The sequence below is a fragment of the Homo sapiens genome, chromosome 3, assembly GCF_000001405.40.
Source record: "Homo sapiens chromosome 3, GRCh38.p14 Primary Assembly".
Lineage (NCBI taxonomy): Eukaryota > Metazoa > Chordata > Mammalia > Primates > Hominidae > Homo > Homo sapiens.
The window spans coordinates 173,222,824-173,248,647 of NC_000003.12; the positions used below are offsets into that span (position 1 = coordinate 173,222,824).

The following is a 25,824-nucleotide window of genomic DNA, read 5'->3' on the forward strand; positions in this document are numbered from 1 at the left end:
AGTGGTCATCTTTCATGTGAAGGTCTTATGCCCTACTTCAGGGAGAGGTTAGAAAATTCTTTCTAGGTTTTTTGGTCTGCTTTAGGGGAGGAGGGTGGGAGAAGGTCAGAGAGACCCTTTTACTTCTGCTGTTTTCTCAAAAATTTTTAGCTTAAAATAGTATCCTAAAGTGCCATATCTAGATTAGATGTTCTGAGCCTGTCATTAGAATTAAATGACATGGGAAATAAAATACTTGTAAAATAAAAACATGACAATTTTTATATTTAAATTTATATATTAGAAAACACAAAGAGACACAATATTTAACCTACAAGCTTGGAAAATTAAAAATGATGAGGAGCTAACTCAGTAGAAGGAATGAGGTAAAAGAGATGTTAATAAAATATAAAAGAAAAGGAAAATGGAAAGGTTTTACAAAACCATCAAAAGATTTAAAACAGAATAGGCCTGGTAAGATTTATCAATGAAAAAAGAGAAAGAGCAAAACTGGACAATTTTAGGAAGGGAAAAAAGGACATGAACACAGATATTGTAGAAATTTAAAAAATCTCTACAGTGGCAAAAACATTTATGAAATGAACAATTTTCAAAGTAAATTTAAATTAAGAAAAATGATTTACAAAGAAAGGAAAAACCTACTGGACATATAATCATTAAATAAATTGAATTAGTAGTTTAAAATGCAGTCAATTGTCATTATTTTTAGTAGTGATGGTTTAGTAAGGCACCACAAACATTGAATTAGCAAATACAAACCACTGTTCTAGTAGAAATAAAAAGATAGGTTTTGGTGAGCCTCTGGTCACATTTTTACCACCTGATCAATACTTATCTTGTTTTACATGTATTTCTGTTTAAAGACACTGTTATTTAATATATATTGTTGATTAATTAGCATCAAACTCAGAGCCAACAACACTGTAACATGTCTGGACTAAATACATTTTCTCCATTAAGCACATCACAGCCTTCTCATGCTTGGGAACACTAGACAGAACTTCAGTACTACATTTAGGGGTCATTTCAAGTACCAAAATCATCAACCAAAAGCACAAAAATGAGAAAAATGTGGCACTAAATAGACCACAAAAAGGACACCTGTTTACAGTGTGACAGCTAAAACATAAAGGCAGAGATTCACTTTGACCTCAGATGGGACCAAGTGTGTTGGGATACTCAAATTTTTCACTGCTCTGCGTATTTTTTTGAATACTGCAAAAACACTCTATGAGTATTGACTTGGGGATTATAAACAAGTTCTAGTGAGTAGGCAAATTCACAGATACATTATATAGTAATAAAAAATTAAATTATATATCTAAATAATTACATAGCTTAATTTCTATCCATAGGAAGATTTATAATTTTTAAAAATTGGTGAGCCTCTTTCTTTCTCTTTTTCTTTCTTTCTTTCTTTCTTTCTCTCTCTCTCTCTCTCTCTCTCTCTCTCTCTCTCTCTCTCTCTCTCTTTCTTTCTTTCTTGAAATAGGGTTTCACCATGTTGGCCAGGCTGGTCTTGAACTCCTGACCTCAAGTAATCTGCCTGCCTCAGCCTCCCAAAGTGCTGAGATTACAGGCGTGAGCCACCGAGCCCAGCCAGTGATCCTTATCTTATAAAAATTATTTTAGAGAAAAGAAAAAATGGAAAAGTTTCCTAATACATAACCTTGATAATAAAACTAGAAAATAAAGAAAAATTGTAGGATAATTCACTTAATAACATACATGGCAAATTCTAAATAAAATATTAGCAAACCAAACCAGAAAATCATTCAAATTATCAAGTAGGTATGAAAAGATAGTTTAATTGTAGAATATAATAAAATGATTCTGAGAGATACAAAAAAAGAGATGTCTTTCCTGCTCTCTTGTGTTTACTCAGTACAGCACAGAACACTTCTGTGGCCAGATGTGTGGAAGATTTTCACCACACACCAAGCAAGTCTCCAATAGATACCAGTTGGGTGCCCTATAATTCAATTCAATTCTAACACTATCTGCCTGGAAATCATGTCAGATCCCACAGATTAAAAGCTCAGTCCCAAAAGACTTTGCCACACTTCGGATGCCAATCACAAGCCTCACACTGCGACCCATGCTTCTGTTACATGTACGAGTCTGCAGCAACCTCAATTCTTGCCTCCTCAGATGAAAGAATTTGGGGAGCATAAGGCAGAAGGAGAGACCTGGCAGGAGTGAAAGTTTATTAAAAAGTTTTAGAGCAGGAATGAAAGGAAATAAAGTACACTTGGAAGAGGCCCAAGCAGGTGACTTGAGAGATCAAGTGCATGGCTTCACCTTTTAACTTGGGATTTTATACCTTGGCATATTTCCAGGGTCTAGTGTCCCTTCTCCCCTGATTCTTCCCTTGGGGTGGACTGTCCGCATGCACAGTCGCTAGCCAGTGCTTGGGAGGGGAAGCACATGCAGTGTGATTACTGGAGTTGTACACATGCTCACTTGAGGCATTCTTCCCTTACCAGCCGAATGCTTCTGGAAGGTCATACACAGTTAGACTCCATCATTTTGCCTCTTAGTGAACATGCTTGAGCCCACTTGCCCAACTCTTGAGATCTTTTCAGGAAGCTGCTGATCACCAGCTTCAGGGTTTTCTGGCTATTGAAAACTGCCTTTCCTTGGCTCTGGCTGCAACAGATTATTATTTTAGAGAGGCAGTTTAATAATTAATTACCTGATCGTCATCTGATCGTTGCCTGACATTCCTGGTGTGTGTGTGTGAGTTTCAGGGGGAGTCCTTTCCTGCTCTGCTCGTGTCTGACTAGCTATCAACTCTAACATTTCTGACCAACCACTCTAAGTTGGTGTTTTCACAATCCACTCTTTGGGTTTGATTATTGCTACAGCAGCTCACTGGATTCAGGGAAACACTTTACTTAAGTTTAACACTTTGCTAGTAAATGATACAGATGAACAGACAGATGGAGGAAAAGCAAAAAGCAAGGCATGTGGGAAAGGGAACAGAGCTTCCATGCCCTCTCCAGGCACTCCACCATCCAGGCACCTCATGTGTTCAGCAATCCAGAAACTCCCTAAATCCTATTCCTCTGAGTTTTTAAGGAAATTTCATTACATAGGCATGATTGATTACATCATTGGCCATTGGTGATCAACTCAACCTTGCAAGTGGGTGGGGGCCTGAAAGTTACAACCTTCTAATAAGGTGGTTGGTTCTCCTGGCAACCAGCCCCCATCCTGAGGCTATCCAGGAACCCCTAGCTACCAGTTATCTCATTAGCATGCAAAAAAGACAATAATCATGTTGGGAATTCTGTCTTTTCGAAGTTGTGTGCCAGGAAATAGGGATTAAGAACAAATATAAATATGCTATTATAAATCACAATATCATAATGGTTTCCCCTGTTAACAGACTAAAGAAGAAAGTCTATACCATCACCTCAACACTTTAGAGAAATAAATACTTTAGAGAAATAAATATAATAAAATACTTTAGAGAAATAAATACAAAAATATTTCATATGGAACCAAAAGAGCCCGTATAGACAAGACAATACTAAGCAAAAAGAACAAAACTCAACACTTTTTTTAAAAAAACAAAACACAGCTCTGCCTTGCTGCCATAGATCAGTAGTTGTCAAGCTTTACATGCATCCAAATGATCTAGCAAACTTTTAAAAATACAGATTGCTTGGCCCCACCCCCAGCATTTTTGCCTCAGTAGATCTGGGAAGAGGTCAGAAATTCTCCATTTCTAACAAGTTCCCAATTGAAGCTGATGCTGCTGGTCCAGGGACTACATTTTGAGAATCACTATTATGAGAATTGCTGTTATGTAGGCCCAGTACTGACTTTTAAAGAGCACTCAGAATGTAAAATATCCACTTCTTAAAAATGTTAAGTAATCTAAATTAATCATATCTGACAGCAATATCAGACATGTGTATATACCTTAAAAATTTAGGGATGGATGTTTTGTGGTTTGTAATTTCCCTTCCCACTTACCTCTGCCTCAGTTTATATTGCTATTGAAGTTTTCCAGAACTATTATCTCCTTCATATTTAATCACTGACTGTTTTATAATCATCAATATCATGTGTAATTGGTCCCACTTCAATTATTCTAGTAGGCTTCCAACAGAATTTTACCTGCTTTGAACCATGCACTGTTTTCATATAATGTGCTTTTTTTCTTCCTTTTAGAACAGAACATATAATAGCTTTTCAACAGAGAAAAAATTCTTTTGATGTAGATTTTTGCTCAATGGACTTAATGCGTCTTCATTTATATTCAGAGTAGAAAAATGTTACATATTAGAAGTGGAAAATAATTCTATGTGCATATAGCTATGATTTTCAGTTATTTAGGTAGGAGATCATGAGCAAGAATACAAGCATGTTAAAATAAGGAAGGTTGATCAATGCATTAATTTTTTTTAGAGATGGGGGGGTCTCACTATGTTTCCCAGGCTGGCCTTTAACTCCTGGGCTCAAGTGATTCCTCCACCTCAGCCCCCACAAATAGCTGGGACTGCAGGCATGTGCCACCACATCTGGATAATAATCTTTTTTCGAAGTTGAATATGAATAGATTTTATTGTATGTTCATTATTTTTCCATCTCTTTATTGTAGACTTGTTGTTCCTGGCATCCAGGAATAGCTTTTACCATTATATGTAGGGATTCTTTAGAGATATTATGGGTTTTATTCCAGACCAACAAAATAAAGCAAAATCACAATAAAGCAAATCACAGAGTTTTGGTATCCCAGTGCATATAAAAGTTATATTTACACTATACTGTAGTCTATTAAGCATGTAAAAGCATTATTTCTGAAAAATGTGCATACCTAAATTAAAAGACTTTATTGATAAAAATTGTTATTGATCATCTGAGCCTTCAGGGAGTCCTAATCTTTTTGATGGTGGAGGGTCTTGCCTCAATGTTGATGATGTTGAATGGCTGCTGATGGATCAGGTTGCTAAACTTGAGGTGGCTATGGCAATTTCTTAAAATAACAGTGAAGTTTGCTGTATTGATTGACTCTTCTTTTCAGAAAAGATTTCTCTGTACCATGTGACGCATTTGATAGCATTTTACCCACAGTGGAACTTCTTTCAAAATTCCATGTTTATGGAATATTCTAATTCCTTTGTTGTCATTTCAACAATGTTCAAAGCATCTTTACTAGGAGTAGATTCCATTTCAAGAATCCACTTTCTTTGCTCATCCATAAGAAGCAACTCCTCACTCATCCAAGTTTTATCATGAGGTTGCAGCAATTCATTCCCATCTTCAGGCTCCACTTTTAATTCTAGTTCTCTTGCTATTTTTACCAGATTTGCAGTTACTTCCTCCTTGAAAGTCTTGAACTTCTGAAAATAATCCATGAGGGTTTGAATCAACTTTTTACAAACTCTTTTTAAGGTTGATATTTTATCCTCCTTCCATGAATCACAAATGTTCTTATTGGCATCCAGAATGATGAATTCTTTCCAGAAGGTTTTCAATTTACTTTTTCCAGATCCATCAGACAAATCACTATCTATGACACCCCCATAGTGTAATGAATTGTACTTCTTAAATAATGAGACTTGGCCAGAGGCAGTGGCTTATGCCTGTAATCCCAATACTTTGGAGGCCAAGGTAGGAGGATCACTTGAGCCAAGGAATTTGAGAGCATCCTGGGCAACATAGTGAGACCCTGTTTATATAAAAATAATAAAATACAAAAAATAGTAAGGCTTGAAAGTTGAAATTACTTCGTGATCCGTGGGCTGCAAAACAGATATTGTGTGAGTAGACATGGAAACAACATTAACCTTGTGCACCCCCATCAGAGCTCTTAAGTGTCTAGGTGCATTGTCAATTAACAATAATATTTTGAAGGAATTTTTTTCTGAGCGTTAGGTCTCAGTAGTAGGCTTAACATATTCTGTAAACCATGCTGTAAACAAACGTGTTATCATTCAGGTTTTCTTATTCCATTTATACAGCACAAATAGAGTAGATTCAGCATAATTCTTAAAGGCTCTAGGCTTTTTGGAAGTTAACTGAGCATTGGCTTTGACTTAAAATCACCAGCTGCATTAGCCCCCAGCAAGAGTGTCAGTCTATCCTTTGAAGCTTTGAAGCCAAGCATTGACTTCTCCTCTCCAGCTATGAAAGTCCTAGATGGCATCTTTTTCCAATAGAAGTCAGTTTCATATATGTTGAAAGTCTGTTATTCAGTGTAGCCACCTTTATTAATGATCTTAGCTAGATCTTCTGGGTAACTTGCTGCAGCTTTTACATCACTACTTGCTGCTTCACCTTGCACTTTTATGTTATGGAGATTGTTTCTCTTTTTAACCTCATGAACCAACCTCTACTAGTTTCCAATTTTTCTTCTGCAGCTTCCTCGCCCACCTCAGCCTGCATAGGATTGAAGAGAGTTAGGACCTTGCTCTGGATTAGGCTTTGGCTTAAGGGAATGTTGTGGCAGGTTTGATCTTCTCTTCATACCACTAAAACTTTCTCCATATCAGCAATAAAGTTGTTTTCCTTTTTTATCATTTGTGTGTTCACTGGCCTAACACTAAATTTCCTTTAAGAATTTTTCCTTTGCATTCACAACTTAGTTAACTGGCATAAGAGGACTAGCTTTTGGCCTATCTCAGCTTTCAACATGACTTCTTGACTAAGCTTAATCATTTCTAGCTTTTGATTTAAAGTGAGACATGTGACTCTTTTTTTCACTTAAATACTTAGAGATCATTGTAGCGTTATTAATGGGCCTAATTTCAATATTGTTATATCTCATGGAATAGGGAGGCCCAAGAGAGAAAAAGAGGAAGGGAATGATCAGTGGAGGAATCAGAACACACACAACTTTTATCAGTTAAGTCTGCTCTCTCATAATGGTGCAATTTGTGGTGCTCCAAAACATAATAGTAACATCAAAATTCAATGATGGTAGACCACTGATTATAGACTACCATAACAGATATAATCATTTAAAAAAGTTTAAAATATTGCAAGAATTACAAAATGGGATAAAGAAACACAAAGTGAATACATGGTGTTGAAAAAATGCCCCCAATAGGCTTGCTGAATGCAGGGTTGCCATAAACCTTCCATTTGTAAAACATGCAATATCTGCAAAGTGCAATAAAGCAGAATGCAATAAGATGAGGTATTCCTGTATTTAGATAGGATAACCAGGGAGAAAACATGAAAGACTTTTTGTTCTTTGGCAACATGTAAGTTGATTTTTATATAATCATTTTTGTTCTAAAGATATTATCATCAATGCGTATGTAAACATATTTCATATTCACACTTAAATGAATATTTAAAAGGAAATAGTGGGACTTATATATTGTGTTACCAGACATTTTCTCAAGTGCAAGTAAGCACTTTGATTTCAACTTAGTATTTTACTTTTTAGAAAAGAGTGGGTAATGTTATGTACCAGTAAGTGATTGATAAATGACAGAATGTCCCACTCTATACTTGGAAATAGGGTCAAGGGCATAGCTGCACAGGGGTGTCAGGGGAGGCCCAAGATCAGCCTCCAAAATGAGCATTACATTGAAGAAATTGTTCCTACAATCCAGAAATCTTAGAGAATATGATAGAAAATATTATAGTTATGTGTCACTTAACAATGGGGATACATCCTGAGAAATGTGTCATTAGGTGATTTCATTATTTTGCAAATATTATACATTTTCTTATGCAAATCTAGGTGGTATAGCCTACTGCATACCTGGGCTAGATGGCATAGCCTATTGCTCCTAGACTATAAACCTGTACAGCATGTTACTATACTGAACACTGTAGGCAGTTGTAAGACAATGGTAAGTATTTGTGTATCTAAACATAGAAAATGTACAGTAAAATATGGTGTAAAAGCTTAAAAACAGTTACATCTGCATAGGGCACTTACTGTGAATGGAGCATACAGGACCAGAAGTTGCTCTGGGTGAGTCAGTGAGTGGGTGGTAAGTGAATGTGAAGGCCTCAGACCTAACTGTACACTAATATAGCCTTTATAAATATGTACACTTAGGTGACACTAAATTTATAGAAAATATTTTATTTAATAATAAGCTTAGTTTACTATAACCTTTTTATTCTATAAACTTTTAAATTATCTTAAAGTTTTTGACTCATAATAGCACTTAAACACATTGTACAACTACACAACAAAAGTATCTTCTTTCTTGATATCCTTACTCTATAAGCTGTATTTAAAACTTTTAAATTTTCTATTTAATTTTACTGTTTAAACTTTTTTGTTACTAAGTAAGGCAGAGAGGCACACATGAGCCTAGGCCTATACAGAATTAGGATCATCAAGACGTCAAGAAGCAATTATAACCTTATGAGACCACTGTTGCATATGTGCAGTGTTATTGACCAAAGTGTTGTATTTCTTTATAATGTAATATTTTTTCTGTTAAGGTGCATAAACAATAAATTTTCAAGTAAAATATTGGTGGTTTCAGAAAAAAAGTGGATTGGTCATTGGTTTAAATTGAGGGACATCACTGCTAGGTGCTGAATAAAATATATTTTTTGAAAAAATAATTTACTTTCTCCATGAAGAGAAATAATTAAAAGCAGATGTGAGAAATAAGTTGGGTAAGAAAATTTATAATGCAAAGATTACTTTTATTTCCCTCAGCTTTTCTTAAGGATCAGTTTTCCAAATACAAACTGAAAAGAGAAGTGATTTTGAATTTTGTTCGTAGAATCCATCTTTTACATACTCAAAAGATTTATTTTGGTCTCTAATAATTAAAGGAAATCATATTGATTGCATGGATTGCTCTAAGTTCTCAACTGTCATTTAGACTTTTTGTACTTGGCTGCAGTTCTTTATCCATGGAATGTTTTTTAAATAACATCCATCATGATCTTAACTTCTTTTTCCTCAGTTCTCTTTGAAGCTCAATTATTAATTTTATTCCTCTTCCACCACCGAGGAAATCTAACCTTCAGTTTTATGTTCTCTTTATATTCACACATTTCTAGGTATGCTTGGAGTTCTTTTTTGATATCTTTTTAATTTCTGGATCACATCAGTTTTATTCTGACAGATGCAGCCTCTAAAATAAGCTGTGTGATGCACTCAAACCTAAAATAAACCATTATTTCAGGGTTAGGTGCGTCATACCTGCAAATAACCTCATTTATCTAGAGAAATGTATTTAATGCTTATTGTATAAATACCAGTGTTTCAGCGTGATCTATAATACCATCTGTCACTTCTTTTTGTCCAATACATAATTCAATCCTTTATTCCAGTTTTTTGAGAAGGAGAGCTCTTGCATATTATCTTATACATACTGTGACAAGAACCCAGGCATATTATGAAAATATATTAAATATTATCCAAGATAAAATTTTAATGCAAGTTGAATGAAATGCTATCTTTGTTGCTAAGATATGCATTAAAGTAAGCTTATATCATTGGCATCTTTCACGAACTTCATTTAAAGTATATTTTAAACACAATGTTCTGGAAAGTAGGAAAGTAACTGCTATTTCTATTAGAGGACTGTTGTCTCTGGTTATGACACAGAATGCTCTACTGCAGAAAGAGAGGAAAATAAAAACATAAAGTGGTAGCACGTTGCTGAAAAAGCAGCATTTTTTTTTCCTCACACCTTGCCTGAAAAACTTTTTGCCTGGATTAGAATAGAGCCTTAGATGGATATTTGTAGGGATGCACATCCAGAATATATGTCAGAAAAAATTTAGATTATCGAATATTTGTTGAGTGAATATGAGGTGCCCGACGTGATACTAGGTTGAGGACCCTGAAAAAGATCACACTCCAGGTGTTGATCTTCTAACGAGGAGAGAGACACAACAAGGATAGTATGGAGAACTACGGTCAGTGCCATAGCGGAAGAGATCCTGGGGGTCGCTGAGAGAGGTGCCTAATTCAGCTGCTAGAAAGGAGATTCCAGGGAAAGCTTTCCAAGGAGGTTTTACTGGCATTCCATTTTGAAGAATGAGTAGGAGTTAATTGTTTAGGTTGTTTTTAAATTGCTTATCTCCTAAGTAGTTTTAAGAAGAATGATATTTTGAAATTATCTTGTCACGCACAATTCTGTAGGTTTGATCAAAGAAGACAGTTCTTATTTCTCCTCTTTCCATCTAACGTACATGCATTCACACTCACAAGTTTGGTTTTTCAAATGTGTGGCTTTACTATCAGATTTATTGGTAAAACTATATTGATGTGTATGTATGTGTGAGAATAGATGGTAGGAATTACGTATAAGATCATCACTTCAATGTAAATAAAATTTACCTTCTAGGCCGGTCGCAGTAGCTCACACCTGTAATCCCAGCACTTTGGGAGGGCGGGCGGATTCAGAGGCCGAGGCGGGCGGATTCAGAGGCCTAGGAAGGCAGATCATGAGGTCAAGAGCTCGAGACCATCCTGGCCAACATGGTGAAACCCCGTCTCTACTAAAAATACAAAAATTAGCTGGGCGTGGTGGCGCATGCCTGTAGTCCCAGCTGCTTGGGAGGCTGAGGCAGGAGAATCTCTTGAACCTCGGAGGTGGAGGTTGCAGTGAGCCTAGATCGCGCCTCTGCACTCCAACCTGGTGACAGAGAGAGACTCCATCTCAAAAATGAAAAATAAAAAATAAAAAAATAAAATTTACTTTCCAAAGTCATACATACATATATATATACATACACACACACACACACACACACACACACACACACACACACACACATATATATATATATATATATATATTTTTTTTTTTTTTTTTTTGAGACCAGATCTTGTTCTGTGAATCAGGCTGGAGTTCAGTGGTGCAATCATGGCTCACTGTAACCTTGAACTCCTGAGCACAAAAATCCTCCTTCAGCCTTCCAAATAGCTGGGATTACAGGTGTGTGCCACCATGCTGGACTAGTTTTTCTTTTTATTTTTGGGGGAGAGATGAGGTCTCACTGTGTTTCCCAGGCTATTCTTGAACTTCTGGCTTCAAGCAGTACTCCTTCCTTGGCTTCCCAAAGTGCAAGAATTACAGGTGTGAGTCACCATGCCCTGGCCCTAGAGTGTAATTACATATTTTTCATCACACATTCTCTCTAAACACAAAGAACACATGCTCTTAAACAAGATCCAGAAACAGACAATTCTACTGGCTGTATCTGTATTTACTTTGAACACATTATCTCATTATACGGCAGATTCTTCATTGTAACAAACATCCCTAAAGTGGAATGAAGAAAATGAATGCATGCGTACTCCACAGGGTATTTTCTAGGGGAGAAATAACTTTATATTCTAGCTTGGAAACATTTCTATTCTACAATTTTGGAGAGAAGATAATTGATATCTTTGCACACATATCTTTTTGTCTGATAATGAGATACATATTTTATAAATATTCATGTTGCTATAAACCAGGTTGGTCTTAGATGGGATAGGCAAGACCTAACTTTGGCTATTAATTTAATTTCCTCACACATAGAAGATTGTTTTAATAAAGATGGTACATAATCCTAGAGGAAAAGACTCCTTTAGTAAGCTGTATGATTGTCTTCTTTGAGAAGAGCCTCTGGCAGTTTAGTAGATATAGGCAAAGATTTATGACTAGTGACTACATTTTCTCCCATTTATTCTGGAACGACTTTCTACTGATTCTTCTAAGATTTATCTTTCTAAACTCTAAGTAAGCCAACGTGATCACCGTAGGCTATAATGTTCAATACTTTTCTTCATGGTGTTTTATTTATTTTGCTTATTTATATTGTGATATACTTCACACTTACGAGAATATTTTTTAAAAGATTTCTTTTCTGCATCTACTATGCAGTCTAACAAAGAAAGCATTAAAAATACAGATGAAGCTCTTTCATGCATGGTATGATAATTTCATTGCATTAGATCATGCCTCAAGGTAACCACTATTTTTAATTTGTTGTTTAACCTCCTATATATTTGCATACTTTTACCACTGAAATGTGTATTGCTAAATAATATATAGTATCATTTTGCATATTTTAGTATCATACTATATATATATATATATATATATATATATCTCCTAGCAACTTACTTTTTTTAACCTAACATTGTTTTTTGGATTATTTTTCCCATATTGATATATGCGGTTCTACTTTATTTTCATTGCTGTATACTATTCCATTGCATGACTTTACCACAGTTTGTCCATTCTCACATTAATAGACTTAGTTTTCTAGTTTTTCTATTGCAAACAAAGCTACTATGAACATTTTTGTATTTGTGTCCTTGTGTATGTACATAAGACTTTTCTAGGTCATATCACATAACAGTGAAATTGTTAGTTTTGGAACTATGTGGTTTTAAAATTTTATAAAATGTTGGCTGATCAACCTCTAAAACCTCTTGTAACAATTTACACTTCCACCAGCAGTCTCCACACCATCACTAACACTTCGTAAGACTTTTTTGCTTTTTGTCAGTCTTGAGGGTCTAAAATGGTATATCAATTATGAGTTGCTTTACCCGGTAGAATCCAAGAGAGAAGAAGTTGTGCAAGTTTTGTGCAAGTTCTGTCTCAAGACCTGGCATATTTGACTTTTGTACTTGAGAGTCCTGAGCCACCACGGAAGAAACCACTGCTAGACAGACCATGTAAAGAAGTCATATAGTGGGCTGACACCCAGAATCACTTAAAGAGATAGAGCAGGCCAGCCATGTCAGCAACCCAACTGATCCAGCCCTCATCAACCCAGCAGAAGATTGCAGCCACATGAATGACCACTGACAATACCAGCAAAAGTCTCAGCTGAGCCCAGCCCACATTGCATATCTGTGAGCAAATAAAATGATTGCTGTTTTTAAGCTAGCTCCTAAATTTTGGAGTATTTTTTAACATATGAATAAATTCCTGAAACATCAATTAAAAATATTTTGATGGACAGTTTTTTCTTTAATTTTAATGTTGTCAAATATATCAATTTATTTTTCCCTATAGCTTGTAGTTTTTGTCTTGTGTACAAAAGCTTCCCAACTCAAAGATTATTAGGATATTCCAATAAGTGTTTTAAATTTTTACCTTTCACATTTTGGTCTTTGATGCAACTGGAATGTGTAATGCATATGGTATGAAGTGGAGCCCATTTTTTTTCCTAGACGGCTAATCAATTTCCCTAGGACTATTAATGATATAATCCATTCATTCTTCGTTGTCTTGCAATGGCACTTTGTGGCGTTTTTTAAGTATACTGGGGTCTTCTTTGAGCATCTTTAGTTCCACTAGTTTATTGGCCTATCCTTGTGCCAAGACCAAATACAGTGTTAAATAATTTTAGTTTTAAAATAATCTTGATATCTGTTAGGAAACCTCTCTCTAACACTACTTTTTACTTATTCTGACTTCTGTTTGTTTTTAGTATCCTGGCCCTGAATACTTCCATATACATTTTGAAATAAGCTTAAGTTACAAAAAATAAAACTGTTAAGTTTGACTGAAATTGCACTTAATTTGTAGCTTAATTGAGGAGAAATTACATCTTCACTATATTCTGTCTTGTCTTTCTATTCATGAACATAGTATATACATCTATTTACGTGGATCTTTTTAAATAACTTCAAATTTTGATTTTTTTTACCAAGTTCTTGCATATGTTTTGTTAATGTTATTGCTAAGTACCCTACATTTTTGTAGCAACTGTAATTATTTTCTCTGAAGTCAGCTTTAATAAGATAAATTAATATAATATAACCAGAACCTATCACATGTGTGTAATTTGATGAGTTTTGAAAAACATATCGCTCACATAATCACTACCACAGTCAAGATAAAGAATTGTTTTTTTTTTTTTGAGACGGAGTCTCACTCTGTCACCCAGGCTGGAGTGCAGTGGCTCGATCTCAGCTTACTGCAAGCTCTGCCTCCCAGTTCAAGTGATTCTCCTAATTCAGCCTCCTGAATAGCTGAGACTACACGGGCCCGCCACCACGCCCGGCTAATTTTTTGTATTTTTAGTAGAGACGGGGTTTCACCATGTTAGCCAGGATGGTCTTGATCTCCTGACCTCGTGATCCACCACCTCAGCCTCCCAAAGTGCTGGGATTACAGGCATGAGCCACTGCACCCAGCCAAGCATTTTTATTATTTAAAACAATCCCTTGTTCTCTTTCCCAGTCCACCAAATCATCTCTTCTGCCCACGGGTAAGCAATGATATGTCTTCTGTAAGAATAGATCAGATTGTTTTCCATTGTTTTATACAAACAGAATCATATGGTATACATTGTTTATGTCTAGCTTCTGTCACACAGCATGCTTTTTGAGATTTACTCATGATTTTGCATATATCAATAATTCTAGTTCTTTCCAAATTATTTGTCTATTCACCTGTTCATGAACACTTCGGTTATTTCCAGGTTTAGGCTATTATCTTTTAAACTGCTGTAAACATTTATGCACAAGTCTTTAGATTAATTACATTTTCATCTTTTTGGGGTACATATATAGTAGCAGAATAGTAAGGTGTCATGTGACGTGTATGTTTAGCATTTAAAAAACTCCAAAACTGTTTTTCAAAGTGGCTGTACAATTTTTCATTTTTTATTTCCTTAAGTTTTCAAATGTCGTGGCTTAAATGTATTTATAGTGTTATTTTATTTGTATGTCTTTGCTATAATTCTACCTTTATACTTCTTAAATTTATTATGGGTTTTTATTATGTTTTTCTTGATCAATCCTGAAACAGCTTTGCTCCTTTTAGTTGTTTTTTCAAAAACAAGTGTTTTAGGTTTATTGATTCTTTTATTGTATTTTTCATTTATTTGAATTTGCCTTTTTTCTTCATTATTGTTTTCTTTCAATGTTCTCTGGATTTATTTATCTTTTTCTAGCTTCCCAAGATGAATACTGTGATGGTCTTTGATTTATTGCCTCTCAGCTCCAAATTCACACTTTAAAAAAAGAGAAAAGGAGTTGGCCTTATAAATATTTCTCTTTTGCCTACTGAGAGATCTTAAGGGACATTGAAGGAGAAAGATTTTTCTTCCTGCTTCTGGAGAGGGTTGCTCATCGACTGCTATAGAATATGCCTTTTTATCCACTGCTTGGCCTGCACAGAATCTTCAGGGCTCGGTGCTGATAGGGATCAGCTTTATACAGTGTTTGGCTACTGTGTGCTTTTTGCAGCCATTGACTTAAGCAGCAGCAACACAGACCAAACTCTTACATAGCATGGGCTACAGCCTTGGCCAAGATCCCTACTCCCTGCACTCTCCCCTCAGTCTCACATGAACCAGGCTTGGGGCCCCAGTGGATTGGCCATTTAATGACATTGCTTCCCAATCTTAACTCCTAGAAGCTGTCCCAGAATCACTCAGCCCATACTGTACAAAAGAAGAATGCTAGATTCCTGTAGAGGAAGGCTTCTCCAGCTCCTGGTTTCACTAGCAACCATTGCGGTGACTTCCTCCTTCCCTCCACTCTCTAATCTCCCTGCCCACTCACTCTTCACTTCCGTACTGCCCCAAACCCCACTCTTCCGGAATGCTTCTCAGTGCCTATTTGTCATTCTAACTTGTTTGTGTCTTGAAGGTTTATTTTCTTCCTGACACAAACACAGCACTATTCTTCATTTTCCCAGTGATGCCTCAACTCCATCTGATATCTGTCCACAGCTTTAACTTCTCTGCACTCCAGAGAGTTGTTCCTGCTTGTCTAGCCACTGAGGACCAGCTTTGGTTTAGCAATCCAGCAAACTCTTTCCTTAACTAACTGAGCCACAACCATATTTTCCTCTACAAGGTTTGAACATCTTTTCAAATTTGTCTTTCCTTGGGCACTCGCTCTCAGGCCTTGGATCAATTTCCATTAGAGTTCTCTGTCTATCATTATGGTAACTCTTCTATCATAATCAATAATTCTTTATATCAAAATGATTTTAAACTTCCCCTGATTTCTTTCTCCTGATTAGATTCAGCCTATGTAAATACCAACTAAGTTTCCGTGTGTTTTCTAATAAAGGCATTTAAGGCTATTAATTCCCCTCTAGTAGTAAATTGTTATATATGGTAAGATTTCTGCTACTGCTAGTGTTCTGTAACAAGAATTAGCTCATGTAAGATTGGTAAATAAGAGAATAATGCTTACATAATGCCTATATTGTTTTGGTTCATACTTTTTTAAGAAAACCAACATGTTAAGATTACATCTTACCAAAAGTAATAGCAGTAAAATGCAAAGTGCACTAGAATAGAATGTGAACTAATAATGCTGGATACTGTCAGCTGTGGGTGAACATAGTGCTATAAATGACATTTATTCATTCCGTGGCCTTCTCTTTGGCTTAATTTAGTCATGTGCTTTCTCGTGAAATTGCTATTGTGTTTTTCTTTCCCTTATTTTTGTGCATTTCACCCTTCCTATAATTCAGCACGCTCTAAGCTTTCTAACCTAACCTTATGTTAGGGGAGATTTTAGAAAATAAAGTTTTATATTAACTATAGTATTAATTTATTAAAGAGTAAACATGTATTTTTAATTATGCTATTGTTTTACTGGGATTGTTACTATTTTTAGTAGTGCTTTAGTTACAAAGTTGTGTAGATTTTAGGTGTTGTATTCCAGACCTATCTTTCCAATATACCCTCTTATTTTCAGTGGGGAGTTTTGCAGAATCAAGGTTTCATAGGTGATATCCATATCACGTTACACACAGAAGGCCCATATTTTCATTCTCTTTCAAGTTCCAATCTTTCCTAATTTCCTTTTGAATCATGAGTAATGTTAAAATATGTTATTTTATTTATTATTATTATTATTATTATTATTATTATACTTTAAGTTTTAGGGTACATGTGCACAATGTGCAGGTTAGTTACATATGTATACACGTGCCATGCTGGTGCGCTGCACCCACTAACTCGTCATCTAGCATTAGGTATATCTCCCAATGCTATCCCTCCCCCCTCCCCCCACCCCACAACAGTCCCCAGAGTGTGATATTCCCCTTCCTGTGTCCATGTGTTCTCACTGTTCAGTTCCCACCTATGAGTGAGAATATGCGGTGTTTGGTTTTTTGTTCTTGCGATAGTTTAATGAGAATGATGATTTCCAATTTCATCCATGTCCCTAAAAAACATGTTATTTTAAAACAAAAAAAGGTCATGTGAGCACAGCAAGGTGGCAGCAGCCTAAAAGCCAAGAGGAGGCCTCAGAATAAAACTTATCTTCCTGGCACCTTGATCTTGGACTTCTCAGCCTGCAGTTTTTTGAGAAATAAATTTCTGTTTTTTAAGCCTGTGGTATTATGTTATAGCAGCCTGAACAGACTAATAGATCAAGCTTGTTAATTGTTCAAATCTTGATTGATTTTATATCTATACATAAAATAGCTGGAGCTCTCAGTTAACAAAAAAAATGCATATTGAACTTTCACAAATAATTGTAGATTTGTCTTCTGTGAAATTTGATCAAGTTTTGCATTAATAGTTGTGAGAAATACTATCAAGTACATACATATTTAGAATTCTAGTAGATTCTTGGGGAAATGTACCTTTTAAAATTATGAAGTAAATATCTTCATACAAATGCTTTTGACATCATAATCCATTTTGTAAGACATCTTTAAAGCCACACTAGCTTAGTTTTTCCAGTAATTTTCTTGTATATAATATTCAACATCTTAATCACATTCTACCTTCCATTGAATTTTACAATTTTGCATGTACATCTTGTAGGCAATTTTATTTTAAAAATCCATTCTTGCAGTTTCTGTATATACTGTCAACCCTGATACATTGTGAGTCTTCTATTTGTTCTACTTTTTCTGTGAGTGTTTTTCTATTCTATCTTTTGATATTTCAAGTTTTATTTTTTTTCGTTTCACTTTCCTACCTTACAGGTTTTCAAATTATATACTTTCTTTATACTTTGTAATGACTGTTCTTAAAATTTTAACATGTATGCATATGACACTTAACAAACTCTAAAATTAATCAGCATATTTAAGGCCACCAAATAGCGCACCAAAATCATAGAACACTTCATTTCTAGTTTCTTCCCATCTTATACGTTACTGGTGTCAGCTTTTAGTTCCAGCTTACTTCATAAGTCTTACAGTAATTAATATTTTTATTACTTTTTCATTCAATTTGTTGTTGTATATATGCACCATTGCCACATTTTTGCTCACCTTTATTTTTGTAATTTCAGCCCTAATTCAATTTCTATCATTGTGAAATATTTTCTTTAGATGTTCCACCAGATATAAAACTCTAGGTTGATTGTTATTTTCACTCAATATCTTCAGATATCATTCAGGTCTTCTGTTTTTCTTACATCTTGTGAAGTTTGCCTTTGGCTTACCTGTCTTTTTTTTTTTTTTTTTTTTTTGTAGGTTATCTATCTTTCAATTACAGCTACTAGGATTTGCTCTTTCTCTTTGGTATATTAAAGTATATCATACTATGTCCAGGTTTTTATTTCTTTTTGCTTATTCCAATCATGTGTTTTCTGAACAGGTGATTCATAACTTATCATTTCTAGGAAAAAATTCTAACTCATTATCACTTCTAATTTTGCCTCTTACCCATTCTTTCTCTTTACTCTTACCTTTTTTTCTTTTCTTTCTTTTTTTTTTTTTTTTTTTGAGACAGAGTCTCGCTCTGTCGCCCAGGCTGGAGTGCAGTGGCGCAATCTCAGCTCACTGCAAGCTCCGCCTCCCGGGTTCACGCCATTCTCCTGCCTCAGCCTCCCGAGTAGCTGGGACTACAGGTGCCCGCCACCACGCCCAGCTAATTTTTTGTATTTAGTCTTACTTTAACATCACTTAGATATACATTGGATCGTATTCTATTTTCCTGATCTCTCAGTTTTGTTTATGTTTTCCATCTCTTTATTTTGTATTCTTTATTCCAGTTAAACTCTTCAGATCTACATTCCAGCTTATTTATCTATTCACCTATGTCTACTCTTCTGCTTAATCTATTGATTGAGTTTTTAAGTTGGATGGTAATTTGATTTCTGAAATTTCTATTGTGTTTTTTTCTTCAATTCTGGCACGTATTATTTAATGGTAAACTATTACCAGTAGTAATAATTTAAAATAATAAAGAATTTAAAATAATATTTTAAAATAATATATTAAAAATAATTTAAAATATTAAAAATAAAATATTTTAAATTCTTTATACATTTTAAATATACTTGTTTATTATAAAAGTGAGAATTTTGTTATCTGATATTTTTAGAGGCCTGTGTCAGCTATTGTTGACTCTGTGGGTTCTCACTCATTATGGCCTATTTCCTCATGAGTTATGTAATTTTGAAGGTGAGTTTATTTTTGGTGAGACGTTATCTATGAGAATCCTCTGATGTTTTCTTTTTGGAAATATATATTTAAAGGCAGAAATAATTTTTACCAACATGGGACTTCTTTATGTTATGAGGTTATCTGGATCATGTGACTCAAATTCATGTCCGTGTAAAAGGAAACAATCTTTTTCTCCTATCTCTGTTAAGTACATTAAACCTAAGCCTCCTGGTTAGTGAAATCAGCTAATTTAGCTTCCATTCCGGTTGCTACCTTTAGAATCTTCCTTACTCCCTTATCCCCTTACCCCTAGGTGTTTTGTTTGTTTGTTTGTTTTTGTTATTTTTTTCTCCTACTTGAATTGCATTGATTTATTATGTGCTCAGTTATAAATTTAAAGGGTGGTTGTTATATTTAATCCAATATATCTAGATGTTTTATATTAGAAGTTCTTTCAGGTTACTTAGTTCATTATGTTTTTAAGCCACTCTGCTATTATTTTTTTAAAGGCTTCTGTAACAAGTTCTCATTGAAACATGGGTTAATTTATCACATTTGGTTGAAAGGGGGGAAATCCTAATATTTATTGAGTGGCTAAATGTGACAGGCATGGAAGTGGGTGCTCCAAACGACATTTTTTCTAACTTTAAGTAATTGACAACTTATGTCTTAAGAAATGAGTTGTAGCCAGTAAATTTCAAAGAAAAAAAGGACCCGTAAGTCAAGAACAATTTCCAAATAATGAAGAGCAACCTTGCTTTATATTTCAGGGGTCTTATAAAATAGTAGTGAGAAGAGAGGATTGTATCGAAGGCAACATTCATTTATTTCCTACCTGGTTTCAAGGCAACTTTATTTATGCCTTACACTGTCTAATAAGAGAGAAGGAAAGAACATTTGGCCAACAGAAAGTATTTTAAAAATGATGGGCTGTCCCATTGTTTACCCTCTACCCTCTGTTCCATTATTAAGAATTACTTTTATTCAGTTATTAAAATCAGTGTTTTTCTAAACTTTTCTAGGTGAGAAATTTCTTAAATGAGCACTTTTTTTCTCTTCATTAGACTGCTGGCTTCATCTGGCAGAAGGCATGTCTTTTCTTCTTCTTCTTCTTTAAATTCACCTTTGTTATTATGTACCCAGCAAAATACTAGAACAAAATAAGCACTGAATAAATGTTTCTTGAATGGAAGACTAAGTGATTCTCTCTGTTACAGAGCTTTCAGAATTGGAGGATCTTGCTTTTAAGATGGACACCACCAAGAGATTTTTTTTCAGTGAAGCTGAAAGGAAGAGAGTTGACAGTGGCATGGTCGTAATAGGTCTCTGGATATTAAGACTATAATAGATTAGTGATTTGGGAAAAGGCAGAGAAGATTCTGCATATTGCTTTGAATTATTCTGGGGATTTTGTCCATAAAACATGCAAGCTGTAAACCATTCATTGGTCATGAACCAAGTGGTGCAATGGAAAGAACGTGACCATTAGAATAAAACAGACTTTGCAAAATCACAATGTTCATTTATTACCACAAAATAAATTATTTTCTTTTGCTCCAGGAGAACTCTACTGTAGAAAAACCATCTTAAAAATCATACAGAATATCTTCTGTCTTCATAGATTTCTCATGAAGATTGTTTTGAATGAAGAATTCTTATTTTTATTCTTACTTTGAAAAAATACTTATTTTTCTTCCAGTTCAAAGTATACCACACTTACTTTCTATACTAAGCTAGAAAACTAAATAGGAAGAATCAATGGAGATATTATTGTACCTCCATAATCAGGTAGGATTCTTTTGTTTGCAAGAGAGAAGAAAAAATTGATTAAGCCAAAAGGGAATGTATTGTCTAATGTAACTGAACTACACTTAGACCTGACTTGAAATATTGGGTTCACACAATATCACTGGGGCTAAGTTATCTCCATTTCTTGGTGCTACTTAGCTCTGTTATTGTACTTCTTTTGAGTTAATTCTGTGGCATGCTCCTTCATCTTCACCACAAAATGGCTGCTATGCTGCTATCACTTACATTTTTCATAACTTCAGGCCAAATGGTAGAAAATGCAAATCTCTTTCAGTAGCTTTTATGAAGTCTTGAGATTAATTCTGGTTGGCTTAACTTAGGTCACATTCTCACTCAATCATAAGAATTAAGCAAATATGATGCCCTGATTGGATTAGTACTAAGTCATGCGCTCCAGTCCAAGGATGAGACAGAATTGACTCTGACAGGAGAACATAAACTAAAAGTGATAGAGATGAAAATATAGAAAGATTTTGGTATCTGAAAACAACATATTTCTATTACTACCTGCATTAGTCTGTTTTCACACTGCTATAAAGATGCTACCTGAAACTGGGTAATTTTTTTATTTTAAATTTTGAAGAAACTTAATTTCCTCATATTCTGCTATACCTTACTCTGTATGGAAAATATCTTTTTTAAAATAGTACATTTTCTTAAAGGTTATGACTCCTATCTTAGAGAAATTTTTATTTTTGCTTATTTTAAAAAAAAATTCCTGGACTAATAAATCCAAAATCTCTGCTATAGCTGAGTCTGATCCTTTTTCCTTCTGTATTTCAATGGTTTTGGGGGAAGGAGTGGCGTTTGGTTACATGAATAATTCTTTAGTAGTGATTTCTCAGATTTTGGTGCACCCATCATCTGAGCAGTGTACACTGTACCCAATGTGTAATCTTTTATCCCTCACCCCCCCCCACCACCCTTTCCTCCAAGTCCCCAAAGTCCACTGTGTCATTCTTATGCCCTTGTGTCCTCATAGCTTAGCTCCCACTTTTGAGTGAGAACATATGATGTTTGGTTTGCCATTCTTGAGTGACTTCACTTGGAATAATGGTTTCCAACTCCATCCAGGTTGCTGCGAATGCCATTATGTTGTTCCTTTTTATGGCTGAGTAGTATTCCATGGTGTGTGTGTGTGTGTGTGTGTGTGTGTGTGTGTGTGTATGTGTGTATGTGTGTGTGTATATATATATATACATATGTATATCCCATTTTCTTTATCCACTCAATTGATGGGCATTTGGGCTGGTTCTATATTTTTCCATTTGTGAATTGTGCTACTATAAACGTGTGTGCAAGTATCTTTTTTGTATAATGACTTATTTTCCTCTGGGTGGCTACCTGGGAGTGGGGTTGTTGAATCAAATGGTAGATGTATTTTTAGTTATTTAAGGAATTTTCACACTGTTTTCTATTGTGGTTGTACTAGTTTACATTCCCACCAACAGTGTAAAAGTGTTCCCTTTTCACTGCATCAATGCCAACATCTTTTATTTTTTGATTTTTTTATTATAGCCATTCTTGCAGGAGTGAGGTGGTATTGCATCGTGACTTTGATTTGCGTTTACCTAATAATTAGTGATGTTGAATATTTTTTGATGTCTGTTGGCCATTTGTATATCTTCTTTTGAGAATTGTATATTCCTGTCTTCAGCCTACTTTTTTATGGTATTGTTTTTTTTCTTCTTGGTGATTTGAGTTCTTTGTAGACTCTGATAGGATACTCAGCATTTCAAACAACAAGACTGGATGAAGACAGCATGAGGCCAACTGAATATGCATCCCCCCACTTTTTTGTAGTTTACTTGAAAGGCAAAAATCTTTCATTGTGTCAATGTTACATAAAAATTGTTTTCAAAAGGGAAAACCAAATTTCATGTTTGCATTACTGCATCTTTAATAATAACACTTCATTTTCATAAAATTTCAGAAATCTGTCCAGTTTTAATTCATTTGACCATAAAGTAAGATTTTCATAAAACTTTTAGAACCCTTTACAGTTTTCTGTTAAACAGCAGATCAGTTTTCTAAGAAAACCCTGTTATTCAGACACATGGGCCCAGATTCTGGTCCTGCATCAGTGTGCTTTTATTTAAATGTTCAACCTACAGAAAAAAGAAACTAAATAATCCCCTTCAAATCTTAGCTAGCTTGCTTATACCCACAGAACTTTTTTTTTTTTTTTTTTTTACAAGATCAAACTATCACAAACCCTTTTCAACTTGCTTACACCTTCAGTTTTGTCCCATTACTCTTTCAGGTTAAGACAATCTTTAAAACCCTCTGAATTAGACAAAATTACATCCCCTTTAACAGAAACCATATTCCCATGCCTTCTTATAATCACCCACCAAAACCATATTCTACTTTCCTTCTATACCTTGCAACTTTGTACGTAAAACTCTTTCCCTAGTAGTCTCAACTACATGTTAAAATGGTCACTCTTAGCAACTTTTATTTTGGTGAAAAACCTGATAAATTAGCAATTTTAATTATGTACTAGGTGTGGAGACTAGGACATCAGACAGAAGTGCAGACAAGGTCTGACTCTTTCCAGCATAGCCAGAGAACATGGCTAACTCCACATGTCCCCAGGCCTTATCTAGAACTAATGCTACAAAGTAGGTAAATTAAACAATTTTCAAAAGTCAAAGAAGCAGTTTATGACCTTAAAGCACATAGCAAATCTGATATCTGGCCTTAATTCAGACCAAATGTCTAAATTTTGAAGACGCTTTTGTTTTACCAATAGGCTTTAAAACTGTCTTTATTCCCAAACGATTACTTAAGTCATGTGAACAAACAGGCATTAAAGTTTCTATTTTTCTGCTGATATATGATTTAAGCACTTATCTTTCCAAGACAATTAATCAGAGCTCTTTTATATATAAACACCACACAGACAACACATATAAATACACAGACAGACGGAAGATCCAGTAGTTGTAAGATTTTTCATTTACTTGTTTCTTAGTTGCATTACTGGCTTCAGGGTGGAGCTCTTAGAGGAACAGGGCCAGGAAAGCTTGCAGTTTCTAGGTCCTAATAAGCAGGCACAGCTGGAAGGCAAAAACAGATCCCCCAAATTAAGGGTGTCATTTTATGATGAATCCTTTGTCCCGCAAAAGGAGAGGGATACTATGGGAGAAGATAGTGTAATGCTTCTATGGTGCATTTCATTGCAAGGCATCCCAAAGCCAATCAGCCCATTTTGTAATCAGCCAATCCCCCATGGAGGTCTCACCTCTCAATGGGTGGTGAGGACGTTTCCATGTCTTCTGGGTGGCCAAGAGCATGCTTCTCTAATCCAAGCGTGCAAAAAGCCAAGTATTTCTCCTCAACTGCCATTAGCCATCCCTTAAAATATATTTCCTACCTAGTTGTTAGACACCAAGGCTAAAAGCTCTCCCATAATGCAAAATAATTTCTGATACCCCCCAAAAGTTAAAAAAGTCAGCTAATGCAGTGTGAAACAGAACAAAGCCTTAGATTTTAGAGGGATCTATTTTCTCTCAATTCCTGGGGTTCCATGAGGAAAATGGAGGTTTTTCCTAAAATGGGGTCTGTGGCACCTTCTCTGCTTTTCCCCAGGAGTCCCAGGCTGTTAGAGTTTATCTTAAGTTCTCTCATGTTGACATCAAGAGTGGCAAGAAGACTAAACTGGGAAAAACAATTCAGTCAACTGAAAAGGAAAACCTTTTCTTTCCTTCAGAAAAATAAGATCCAAGAAGAGAAAAAACATAAAGGTCTTTTAAATATATGTACAGCTTGGATATCTTATTTTAATTAAGCTGATTTTAACTACAGAGCTTTTTTTTCTTTACAAAAAATCCTTTTAAATTTCTTATTGCCAGACTCTAGCCAGGATAGCCAATATTTCCGGCTTTTGAATTCTACCACAGAAAACCCTCCACATAAAATTAATAAGTTTTAAATAAGGTTATAACTTAACCATGAAGGCATAAGGTAAAGTGTCTCAAAGAGATAGTAAGTGGTTTCTTTCTTCTTTTTCTTTTCTTTCTTTCTTTCTTCTTTCCTTTTTTTTTTTTTTACAAGAATTAGATTCTCTTCAAAGGTTAGAGAGAGGAAGGAGAAAGGAAAATAAAGACAGGGAATCAGAAGCGGCCCATGAGGGAAAAGAATCAATAAATGGCAAAAATTTACTCAAATAACAAACTAGAAAGTACTCACTCCCTAAGCCAAGAATTGAACCTAGGCTACCATGGTCAAAGACAAAATCTTAGCTACTGAGTTACAGCATTGAGCAGTTTCTATTGCTCTTCTGAGAAGGTGCCTAGAAGCCAATTTAGAGCTTGCAAAGGCTCTTAAATGCTCAAGATAATTTTTAGGGATAACTATGACATGAACCCCCAAATTTCTGTCCTATTGATGGCAGAAACCAAGGCTTCAGCAGGCTTATAGGGATCCTAAATCCACGTCCTATCCTGTGATGCCCCTCTCTCCATTACAGAATGACACAAAAAGACAAATTCTTAGTACAAAGCACACCAGATTTGTTATAGCTTAAGACTAGTCTCACAGATCCTTTCTTCTATTAATCAAATGCTTGCAAAGGAGACAAATAGTGATGTTTACCATTTACACATGAATACACAAACAGAGAGTGTGAGAGACTAGAAACTTGATTGGTAAGAATTTCATACCCTTTTTGCTAGCATACCAGGTTTCCAGGTTCCCTTTCTCTGCAGCTTCCAGAAGAATGGAGCGGCTTTTGAGA

The 25,824-nt window shown here is 35.1% G+C and overlaps 1 long non-coding RNA gene across 1 annotated transcript in view, besides 1 other annotated feature; it reads left to right on the forward strand.

Moving 5' to 3' along the window:
• Positions 1 to 25,824, forward strand: part of LOC105374224 (uncharacterized) — a 53,972-nt gene that overhangs the window by 16,246 nt on the left and 11,902 nt on the right. The window lies entirely within an intron of this gene.
• Positions 22,513 to 23,082: an enhancer, noted in NCBI's record as "OCT4-NANOG hESC enhancer chr3:172963126-172963695 (GRCh37/hg19 assembly coordinates)". NCBI's record gives its function as "activates a minimal SCP1, AML or CMV promoter by ChIP-STARR-seq in naive H9 embryonic stem cells {active_cell/tissue: H9 hESC(naive)}" and the evidence as "EXISTENCE:reporter gene assay evidence [ECO:0000049][PMID:30033119]".